The sequence below is a fragment of the Homo sapiens genome, chromosome 9 (assembly GCF_000001405.40).
Source record: "Homo sapiens chromosome 9, GRCh38.p14 Primary Assembly".
NCBI lineage: Eukaryota > Metazoa > Chordata > Mammalia > Primates > Hominidae > Homo > Homo sapiens.
This window is the reverse complement of record NC_000009.12, coordinates 90,426,146-90,438,467: the sequence shown is the minus strand read 5'-3', so window position 1 is coordinate 90,438,467 and position 12,322 is coordinate 90,426,146. Positions and strand designations below refer to the sequence as shown.

The 12,322-nt window shown below is 38.5% G+C and overlaps 1 long non-coding RNA gene across 1 annotated transcript in view; it reads left to right on the top strand.

Moving 5' to 3' along the window:
* Positions 1 to 4,978: 4,978 nt before the first annotated feature.
* LINC01508 (long intergenic non-protein coding RNA 1508) overlaps positions 4,979 to 12,322 on the top strand; it is a 132,594-nt gene continuing 125,250 nt past the window's right edge. Inside the window, exon 1 of the long non-coding RNA NR_109795.1 lies at positions 4,979 to 5,037. This is a non-coding gene — a long non-coding RNA (long intergenic non-protein coding RNA 1508). The remainder of the gene's footprint in view (positions 5,038 to 12,322) is intronic.

Genomic DNA, 12,322 nt, shown 5'->3' with positions numbered 1-12,322 from the left:
AAGTTATATAAAATAGACTCAGTTTGAACTACAAAGTGCCAATAAAAAAAGAAAGAAAAGAAATGATGAAAGATGTAAAAATCTTTTGAGAAGGTGACATAATTGAATGTAGGCAAGTAAGATGTAACATAGATGTAATAAGAATCCTTTAAGAAAAAATAGAAGCAAGAACAGAGCAAATAGTAAACACTGTAATTTAAGATATTTTCTAAAAATTGAAAACAAAATGATTTTAACCTAAATAATGAAATACTACATATCTGCAAATATTGACCCAGAATGACCAACATAAAAATATTCTAGTAAAACAACTAAAATTTAGAAGCTTCTAGTCACAAAGGGTCTGTGACTTAGAAGAAAATGTATTGGGCTATCATCAGGCTTATGAAAAAGAATGCCAGAATAAGACAGACTAACATAGTCAGGAAGGTCAGGGAAAGAGAAAACCGAGCTTCCAGTGTCAAAGGCACACATTATAATCAACATATAAGAATCTGGGGAATATTATTTCTGTGAGCCTTTCCTGAGAATTCTACTAGAGAAAGAACTTTAGAAAACCTGTGTAAGAGTGTTAATGGTGGTAAACATTGAATGTGTAATTATTTGTGGACATCTAAATGAAGGTTAAAAGTGAGTGATTAGATGTCCAATGAGACTGTGGTGTGACAATGCAGATTTAATATAGCCATTTAAAAACTATGGAAAATGGAGATATCTATTAAAAACCAATGGTTTCCAGTGATTATAATCAGTAGTGGGAGAATTAGCAGTGTTATTTTGAGTTTATTATATGTGTAATGTAGAATTACAAATGGTAATTATGAGATATTCTAATTCTGTTGTCCCCTGTGTCTTTGGGCACCAAGGTTTTCAGTGTGGAAGAAAAGAAATGTTAATATAATATTAAAAAGGTCAAATAAAGTCCTGCAGTCCTGAATTTGAATTGGGAATGGTAGTAGGAATTTACAAATTGTTTCAGCTTTATGTATAACAACAATAGATTAAACCGTCAAAAACTTAAATCCACGAATACATAATGATATTCCAAAATAAAATCGATGAATTCCTGAAGATGATAAGGAATCAATTCACTAGGTTGAAAATGGGGAAATGAAAGGATCTGCCTTCATCCTCTCTTTCCGCTGTGCTATTGATTAAGCAAAGTATAGAAGAGGGACTGCAAGCCCTAATAATGTCATTCATAAGGCTCCTGATGAAATGAAACACCACCAACCCTGATACTCTGATCATCATCTTCCTAAAGAGGTCCATCCCGAGTCTATTTGAGCCTCCAGATCTAGAGGCCAATGTGCAAGGAATACAGAGGGCAAAGGAAATGCTGAACTCAATTTGAGTTTGAATTAACAAAGCCAGACTGTGGGAGAGTACAGGTTAAGTAACCTGGATTTTCCAACACATAAATTGTAAGAGTAAGAGTAGATTGAAAGGCTCAAGAACAAAAAAAAGACATTTTGAAAATCAACTAAGCCATAGAGTGTACAGAAGTACACCAAAGTGAAAAAACTGGGAATGGACACACTAACTGTGAAATTCTTATCCTTGAAGTTCACATGAGCTCACTTTGGCCAGTGGAAGTATCTGCCAGTGGCTCCTGAGCCCTCCTGACATGAGCTTGTGACCACTTTCTTGCATTCTGATAAGACAAGATGCTCCAGGTTCAACTTGTAGAGATCCTGGTGTAGACCTAGAATCAGCCAGGTCTCCAAAGAGCCTGGGTGCCATTCGGTTGGCAATACTAGTTTAAAATCACAAGCGGGGTGCTAGTTTTCTAGTCCTTTACTGTGAAGAGGGCTAGGGCTTTTTAGAGATAAATACATCATGAGTTTATACTAGTACTTTCAATTCAAATTCAGGACTATAGGTTTTTTTATATAACCTCTTCTGTGTTATATTTTTATCTACTTTCTCCCATGCTGAGTACCTTATGAAGACCTATTTAGATGCTAATGAGCCTTGTCTGATAGAGACAGGAACAACAGTGTGGGGGTTAAATTCACAGGCTTTGGATTCAGAATGAACTGCATTCAAATACTCCACTTAATTTGGGCAAGTTACCAAAGTATTTTAAAGGATTCGGTGTTCTGATCCATAAACAATAATACTTCTATCATAGTGTTGTTATGAAAATTACAATTAACCTAGAAGATAAATACTTCCTTTAAGGGCGTCTTGAAGGATCATGCAGCTGGATCTAATGATTGCATTCAAATTATTGCTTGGACTGTATGGCTCTTCCCATTTTAAAATGTCCGTAGGAGGTTACCAATGATTTCCTAGCAAGCAGACAATCTTGGGTTAAGTTTGAACTTCTGATGTGAGAGAACATAATTTCAATTAGCTAACTCCTAATTTTTCTATTCTACTAACTTCAAAATTCCAGCTAAATTGTAACAAAATAAAATTGCGCACTTAAAATTTGTTAAAATGTTACATTTTATATTATGTATATTTATCACAATAAAAATATGTATGATAAATATTTAAGTGATTGGAAAGTAAATATCTTTAAAAAATGAAATAAATGATAAAATTTTCTTTTTAAAAAATTTAACTATTGGATGCAAAAGTTAGGGATCAGATCTGCATTAAATATTATAAATATAGCTATTGTTAAAACAAGATAAATAATCAGATTTAGGATAGTAATGTTTGGGTTATACATTAGAATTGCAATTATTCATCCTATAAGAAAGAAAATAGTGCAAATAAATTAAATTTTTAACATGCAAAGTATTGCCATTGGACCTCAGTCAACTTCTGTCTCCATCTTTTCCTTGCATGAAACATAGCTGATAGTATTTTCTGTTTTTTTGTTTTTCTGGTGGCCCTTCTCTAGATGGGGGATGTTAATGGGAAAGCCTGTTGAGGAAAAGCCAAAAGGTAGTTTATGTGCCTGCAGATAGGAAGAGTAACTGCTGCCCTATGTGCTCCCATTCCCAGGAGAGCAGTTGAGTATTTGGAGACACTCAGGACCATTCTCCTCTGCCCCACTGTCTCTGCGGGAACTCATACATTCCAGGGAGGAGAATAGTGGACTCACATTAACCCCAAGAAACTCTTCTGTGAAAGCGAAGCATATCTTCTTGATTTCCAGAAGGCAAGCACAAGCTTAGCCTTGGGAAAGAGTTCTGCAAGATGCTCCCTTTTTGAGGACTGGGAAATTCATGTGTGGGAGTAGCGGAGAGCAGGACACCAGGTGCTGCTTGATCAAGATGGCAGTAAACAGATCATCAGAAGTGAGATTTTATTTTTCCATTTTAAGGAGTTTCATGTATGTTATCTTTCAATAGCTCTCAATTCCGGGATGCTCTGCTGCTCAGGGAGCACATCAGATTTTTGGTTATTTCAGTGACTGGAGAGAAATTCCTGGCATATACTGAGCAAGATGCTTGCTAATAAGGCTTCAGCATAGAAAAATAGTCCTGCCATAGAAAGACTACTGCTGCCCGAAATGTTTCCCTCGACAAACTCTGATAGATGAACAAAATTTAATTTCTTTTAGTTGCTTGACATAAACCTTGATCTTTTAATGGTCTTTCCTGCTGTCAATTTTTTTGAAATAACAGAAGACTGAGAGCATTTATAGAAATATTTAGTTTTATGCAGGTCAGAAGCACTGTGCTATGCCAGGAATCAGTGAAAAAAGAGAGAAGTACAAAGCCTGGTGCTTTTGCTGTCAAACACAGGTCCTCAGCTGAAGCATGAAATTATCAAAATTGTTTTTTTCCTCTTTCATCTTCATTTATTTACATCTTCAGAGAATAGAGACAGTTTCTGAAATTTTCTTGTGAATACCAAAATTTTATGTTAATAAATAAATAATACGCAAATAAATAATATCCACAGTAACCATGCATACGGCAAATTGATTAGTAACTGTTTTCACATTGAAACCAGCTATAATGAAAGAACTGATTATCATTAAGTATTCAATTGCTTTTAGTATTTGAGATATCGGATGTTAGAACTAAGCTTAGAAGTCTAGTTTGGTAAAGATGAATCATTTTTTATTTATTCTTTCACTTGCTGTTTTCCCTGTTTATAACAATTTATTTTCCTATTCTTCTTAATGTTCTTGTATGTCTATGATCGCTTGTTAGTGTGCTGTAAATTTTTAAGAGTGTAAAGAATATAATCTCATATTCTAAGGAAATGAGGAATTGTGTAAAATTGGTTTTAAAAACTCATTGACCTTTCAAATTACTTTTGAGCTCAGAAGTAGAATTGGCTATAAGCGTACACTCCTTTTGGTCCATTACTGAACCACAGTGATGACTTGTGCAATAGAATTTTAGTTCCGGGATGACCGTTTGAAATGATTTTACCCATCTCCCTCATCGCATGTGTGATATCATTCGTTCTGCATGGAAAGTTGTGTCTAATCAAACTATTGGATTTCTACTTTCCTGATTGGTAACTCCAGGGAAGAGATTTCCCATGGAGCTGGGTGGAGGTGAGGATGGGGGGATGTTTTCAGGATGAAACTGTTCCACAGATCATCAAGCATTAGATGATTCTTAAAAGGAGCACGCAACCTAGATCCCCCGCGTGTGCAGTTCACAGTAGGGCTCCGCTGCCATGAGAATGGAATGCCTCTGCTGTTCTGACAGGAGGCGGAGCTGGGCGGTAATGCTGGCTAGGCTGGGCTGCTCACCTCCTGCTGTGCGGCCCGGTTCCTAACAGGCCACAGACAGGCCCGGGGTGGGGGAGGGGGATCCCTGCTTTAGTTGAAAGGAGGTGAGTCCTTATATAAATAGAAACTAACAAGAGGAATCTTCAGAAAGTGGGAAAGCCAGTGAAGCTCGACAAATGACCTCGGGGAAAACGTCAGCATTCCTCAAAACCCCTCCCAGCACAGTAGTGCACTCCCAGCTCCCTGAGGGCCTGGCTCTAAGTCTGAGGAAACACACTCTCTCTCGAACTTGAACTTGCCAGAGAGAACTCAGGCACTGACTGTGACGACGCGGGTGGGGAGAGACTGTGCACCTACACGTGTCACTTCACAAAGGCCTCCAGGTAACAAGCACAAACCTGAGTCCCAGGAGGAAGAAGAACGGCCCCTGGGTTTTTTCGTTTGTATATTTGTTGTTGTTGTTTGCTAAAGAGCATATGATTTGTGAATTGGCAGTAAGAGAGACGGAGGATTTCTTTTCGGAGTTCCACCCTGAATACAGTCCTCTCAAAGGATGACTTAGACTGCTGCTGTGAGAGCTTGAATTTAATCACAGCCTCTGTCATCCTACTCCACCTTCAGGATGAGACCAGGTCCTTCTGAGCACATGCAGTGCCGTGCATGTGTGTGCGTATGTGTGTCTCAGTCATACAGGCCTAAGTCAAGGGATAACGTTACTCCTAATCTGCTTGTACACCTCCGCCCGCCTCCTGACCAGCGTGGTCTGTTTTGCTAGTCTAAATATCCACAGAGAAAACTGGTTCATGAGGAAGAATATCTGTTTAAGGCAAACCCCTCTCCACCCCCATATCAACCCACTCAGCTTCTCCGCTTTATGGATAAAAACTTAAAATGGAGGCTTTCTGTTAACTGCTTTCAGTCTTAAGGCAGAAACAACTCCATTTCATACATTTGGAACTTGGCACTAGCATCAAAACTGGGTCAGGGAATTTAAGCCTAAATCAAGGACCCAGCTCGGAAGCTTAATTTTAATAAATCCAGATTATGGGAATAAATATCAATGTGTATTCACTCAAAGATGAGTGTCTCTTTATAATTAAAAAATATCAGATTGTCACAATACATAGTGTTGTTTGATTTGCTATAGGTATGTTTGTATTTAGGAAAATTATAAAGTCATGGACAAAAAGAATCCCAGCCAATCTGCGATATTTATTACATCTCAGGGGAATGGGGAGTGTTCACCTAGTTTTTAATTTTGAGAAGATTTCTCAAATGCTGTTATTGATGCATCAGATCTTTGCCTAATGCAGGTATTACGTGACCTGATTGCATTACTACTAGTATTATATTAATTTGGGGAAGAGAAAATAGACATCAGATTTTTGTCTAATCATCACCTATGAGAAACTTTAATACCATGAGTACACTGTATATCTGCTTATGTAGTGTACATGTCTGTGCTTCATACGAAAAGAAAAAGACTAAGTACAAACCTTACTAATTTTATTCATTGCCAGGTTAAGAATGACTAAATAAAATGCTTAAGTTAAAACTTAAAATTAAAAGCTATAACATTTAACTTTCTCTTTTTAGCCTAATAACTATTAATGTAATTTATTGCTTTATACAAACTGCAATGGATCACATTGTTTATAAATATATAATAATAGCAATGTAATATACATTTTAAACATCATTCATAACTGCTTTTTCCCATCAAAGGTGAATAATTGAAAAATTAATTTCTTCAAAAATTTAGTGAAGTTAACTTTTGCTTGATAAGAAAAGATACTTTTTAACTATAATTCATCACTGCTTTTTTTTTAGCACTTGACATAGTCAACAATGAGTTGAATAACATTTTTATAATTAAATGATAAAATACAAACAATTACATTTAATTCCCAAAGCCTAAGTCACACATAAAATCACTGAGATCATGTGAGAAGCAATGCTTACAAGGTGACCAGGGCAGCCAACAGCACAGGCCAGCTCTCCCCATGTGACTTTGAAATGGAGCAAGGGATGGAGAAGAAGCCCCCTACTCATGGCCATTTGCCACATTTTTGTAACATGACCTTGGATACGTTTTGGGTCTCTGCCAGGAACTCAGTGTCCATGCTGCTTTTGTGATATCTAAGAAAACTCAATAGGAGAAATTAAATACTAGAGAATAAGGTTGGTTCTCCTGCCTTAGTCTCCTGAGTAGCTGGGATTACAGGTGCCCACAACCACGCCCAGCTAATTTTTGTATTTTTAGTAGAGACGGGGTTTCACTAAGTTGGTCAGGCTGGTCTCCAACTCCTGATCTCAAGTGATCCACCTGCCTCGGCCTCCCAAAGTGCTGGGATTACAGGTGTGAGCCACCACACCCTGCCAGAGAAAATAAGGTTTTGTTGGGTAAGGTTGAGCTTTGGAGAGCCACAAATAAATATCATATCTAATAATTTTTTTGCTTCCGGAATTTTTACCTCCTAAGGAGTGATATTGCCTCTATTGAAAATGCATGCTGTAGTTATATTTATGTTATAAAACTGGAGTATTTTGATTTCCTTCTTTTATTTATCACATAATTATATTACCACTATTCTTAGATCAAAAGGAAGATTACTTGAATCTTCTATACTTTTCTACCTCAAAAAATGAAGCAAACAAACAAATTAGATCTGTTTACTTAAAAAATACTGTTTGGGACCTTGAATTCTGTCTTTTTCTGAATTACAGTCTATTGATTTAAAGCACAAATCTTCACCTTTACTTTGGAGTTGCCAACTACTCCCTAAGAATTCTGGAGCATCTCATCAAACCATTCCATTTCCTGAACTATTAAACTCCAGTGCCTCTCCTAGAATACAAACCCTCAGTTTTCCAACCTTAAGCTCACTTATTCTCCCTGTCCTTTTGTTCAGAAGGCCCTGGGCAGCCACATTTCCTTCCTGCCCTGATCCCATTAGTTTAACACTGGACCTGACTGTTCCCAGAATCCTTAACTCCCTCAGCACCTTATTTCTGTACTGTGCTCAATTCTACGAATCCTGATTTCATACCAGCGCTATCATCTGTTGCTTCATGGCAGTTAATCCCGAGAGAAAATTCTACAACTCTACTAAAAATTTACGTTTCTAGACTTGGTTGGGGCCTCAAACTACTAGTCCATCTCTTTACTTGTCCATGATTCTAAAGCTTTTTTACTCTAAAACCATCCTATTATAAATGGACACATGTATAAATGTATTAGATTCTCACTACAATTGTTGAGACAGATACCATTTTAATTGCTTTTTACAATTTTTATACGGAAGCTGGAGCACAGAAGGTGTGATTTACCCAAGGTCAAACAGCAAGTGACTGCCTAATGAGACTGGACTCCAGGCAGTCTAATCCCAGAGTCTATGCACTTAACTACATTGCCTGTCTAGCTACTGTTTGCCCAACTTTTAAGTAAATAGATCAACATATGCAACAATTTATTCCTTACAGGATTTATAGTCATCTGCTGCTTGAAAATTCAGGCAATGGAAAACTTATAAGGGGAACGAGGACTTTTGAGTTATGCTGGTTTAGATTCCTACCTTTTTTATCTCTCTTCCTTAAAAAGCTATTATTGGCTTTTAAAATCTTGTATTTTCGTGGAACCAAGATTCTGTAAAGGAATTTTGGAAAATAAAAGCACAAAAGTCTTTGCATGGAAATTTAGCCTAGACATTCCATCTGGGTGAGGTGGCATATATTCTCTGACATATTCATTTCCAATTATGAGATGAAAATAGGGAAAAGGGGATCTGGTCAGGCAATGGCTTCCTTATTGGAATAGAGGGAGACCCTTTCTTCCCCTGTTTCCTTAGCAATCGTTGGTTTCTGATATTGAGAGGATTTCATCTCCACTGGCATAAAGCATGGTTGAGGTTTTGTTTTTCAGATAATGAATTGCAGCCTTCTAGCCTTCCAAGAGACTTACTATTACCTTGACAAATTGCCCCATATGCTGCGTAACATAAAGAAAGCATGTTTGGCTGAACTGTGAATAGATTTTTTTCACCGTTATTCAGAAAGAGCATATTGAGCAGACAGAAGTAGCTAGTGGTGAAGTCTCCTTAATTGTCCACTGATACCATATGGGAAGTCTAGGACCTATACAGTGTGTGGGTCAAAAAAGAGCATCACACAGGGACACTGTGACAGGACAGGAGATTGGAGTTGGATCTGTAATCCAACTGTCTTCAAATGGTATAACAAAAACTCTCCCAGGTATGAAACAGGCATTAGGGACTGCGCAGGTGAAAGACTTCCCTGCAAAATGTGGAGAGTTTGACTGAAATGGTCAGTGATTCAAAGAAATCCATATGCAACTGGATTGGTAGATATTCTTCTACTTTACAACCTTTATTCCTCCCTCCAGAGAAGTCCCTAAGTCTGCTGTATGCACATTTTATTCATATATACATTAAACATATATAACTATATACATCTATGTGCAAGTAGATGTATATACACACATGATGTAAACATGCATACATTGTCTCAGCTGGATTGAAAGGCAGGAAAAAGAGAGGTCATTATAATAAAACAGGCCAAGGGTAAAAATCGAATATAATTTTTCTACACCTGTGAAAACAAAGTATTGCAGAATTCTATTTTCTAATAGTCTTAGTTCTCTTCTGAGAAGAATCCAGGAACCCAGGCTGGTTTTCCCATGTGAAGAGCTCACCTTTGGCTTCGGGCTGGTGTCCCGCTCTCAGATTCAGAACTTGGCTTGGACCAGGATGATGAGAACAGCGGCATTTTGCAGAGAATGCTTTGTCATAATTAAACAAAAGAGACCAAGATATGATGTCAGAATAGCAAGCGACATCTTAGGAGATGCAGAATCTTCTCAGCAGGCTGGCTGGTATAGCTGCAGGGTGACCCCAGTCCTCCATCTGCACAGATGTCGGGGGCTGCCCGCGGAACATGGGCTCAGAGTGGGAGTAGTTAGTTGCACAGGCCCAGTGTCCAAGGGCCTCAGGCCGAGGGGACAGCTGCAGCCACTGCATTCCAGGCTGGCTTTCCTTGCCACTGCTGCTCGGGGAGTGGGGTCTAACCAAGTGATGGAGCTGTTTGCTGCTGTCTCTCACTTTTTCCTGGCTTCCAAACCTGGCCAGACACTTGACTGACACACATACTCTTACGGTAATCTGGTGTGGGCGACCAGTTAGCAGCTCAGCCTGCCGGTCTGTCTGTCTTCAAGGCGCTCTCGAGGTTCTTTCTTCACCTTGCCTGATCTTTAGGGACTTTAAGAGGCTCATCTGATGTCCCTTCTTTTCAAGTCTTTGGGAAAAGCCTGTCTATAGTCTAAATGCAAATACCACAGATTAGTTACTAGTAGATCATGTGCTAAATTATTCAAGTAATTTAATTACTTAATGGGAAGAATAACACCCTCCCCCTCTTTTGGGAGGGAGTAGACCTTGAGGAGGTCAGCACATACCCAAGTCTGATACATTTTTAATGTGAGAGGTGTGTTAGTAGTGAGAGGTGAAGCCAGCTGGACTTCCTGGGTCGAGTGGGGACTTGGAGAACTTTCCTGTCTCACAAGAGGATTGTAAAACGCACCGATCAGCGATCTGTAGCTAGCAAGAGGTTTGTAAAATGCACCAATCAGCGCTCTGTAAAAATGCACCATTCAGCGCTCTGTAGCTAGCTCAAGGTTTGTAAAATGGATCAATCAGTGCTCTGTAAAATGGACCTATCAGCACTCTGTAAAATGGACCAATCAGTGCTCTGTAAAATAGACCAATGGGCACTCTGTAAAATGGACCAATCAGCAGGACATGGGCGGGGACAAATAAGGGAATAAAAGCTGGCCACCCCCCAGCCGGCACAGGCAACCCAGGTCTCCTTCCACATTGTGGAAGTTTTGGTCTTTCATTCTTCGCAATAAATCTTGCTGCTGCTCACTGTTTGTGTCCGGCCCATCTTTAAGAGCTGAAACACTCACGGCAAAAGTCCGCAGCTCCATTCTTGAAGTCAGCAAGACCACGAATCCACCGGAAGGAACCAATTCTGGACACAATAGGTAGAGAAGAATTCTTACCACTGTATGTTTATAAGAGTGCATTTAATTTTTTAAAACATTTTTCTTCTGTCTCTTCTTTACTGTTATTGCTAATGCTCCTTCCTGTGGGCTTTTTCTCAAGCCTTTCTAGGTTTTCAATATTCTTATGACTACTATTCCCACTCCCTGAAAAAAAAAGCAGGACTATCTCAGAGCATTTCCCCTAGCAGGTGTGCAGTCCATGGCGAGGCTGGGCCTCTCGGGCCAGTGGAGTAGCCATGTTTATGACATGGTTTCACTTCTTACACCATCAGGCTCTCTTGGTCCTGCGTGTCTTCTGCTTTTTAATCTGTGGAGACAAGTGATCTCTATGTTCTCATGCCTTACCATGCCCCACACAGAGCCTACCATCGAAACAGATCACCCTGGTTCATGTAACTACTAAACATCAGTGTTTTCTTAATTAGCGCAGCTATAAAGATTTATCATCTCTTGGGAGAGTAAGAGTGAGTCTGATTAAATAGTTCTTTGCAGAACAGCCACATATGACAACTGAGCTTTTGAAAATGTGTCTAGTGCCACAATTGAAAATGCTATTACATTGAATATATTGGGACAAATGAAATAGCTTGTAAAAATTAATTTTACTTGATTAATTTTACTTTATTTTTTAAAAATTGGGTCATTAGAAAGTTTTAAATTGCACAGGTGGCTTAGAGTGTCTTTCTTTGGATGGCACTGACTTAGAGGGTTGTAGTTAATTCTACCTTTGGAATTTACTGGTGAAACCCATTTGGTTACTGGACGAGACCACTGAGATGGGTTCTTGTGAAGCACCCTTACTGGTACCACTCTTTGCTCTGATCTAAATGTTCTGGCTGGGTGTTTGTTTCCCAGGGCTACCTGGTTAATTGACAGTTCTCAGTCATTGCTTATTCTTGCTCACATAGAAACTAGTACAAATAAATTCCTTACACACAGACATATACTAACTAGATGCAACCAAAAACGCACATGCACAAATAACTCTATAACTTACTAAAATCAATAATGAATTAAAAATGTCTATCATACTCATCTTTTTTATTATAATTATCTATTTCCTTTTTCTTTTCTTTTCTTTTCTTTTTTTTTTTAAGATAGAGTCTTACTCTGTCACCCAAGCTGGAGTGCAGTGGTACGATAGCCCACTGCAACCTCTGCCTCCCAGGTTCAAGTGATTCTCCTGCCTCAGACTCCTGAGTAGCTGGGATTACAGGCACCCGCTACCATGACCAGCTAATTTTTTTTTTTTTTTTGTATTTTAGTACAGACAGGGTTTCACCATGTTGGCCAGGCTGGTCTCGAATTCCTGACCTCAAAGTCCTGAGATTACAGGTGTGAGCCACCATGTCAGGTATCTCTTTACGTTTTTAAATCAATAGTTCTCTTTTGTCATTATGAGATCATGCCTCATCAATTTAATTAATATAAGTTAATATGCCATTAACTATTATTATTTTGATGTTTCCTCAAATTGTCCAAATTTGGCTGTCTACTTTCAGCTCTTCCAGTAATAGTCTTAAAGGGTGGAAGCTCCAGATTTTCTGGAAACATCTTAAATTTTTACATGAATTATGTAATTATGAATT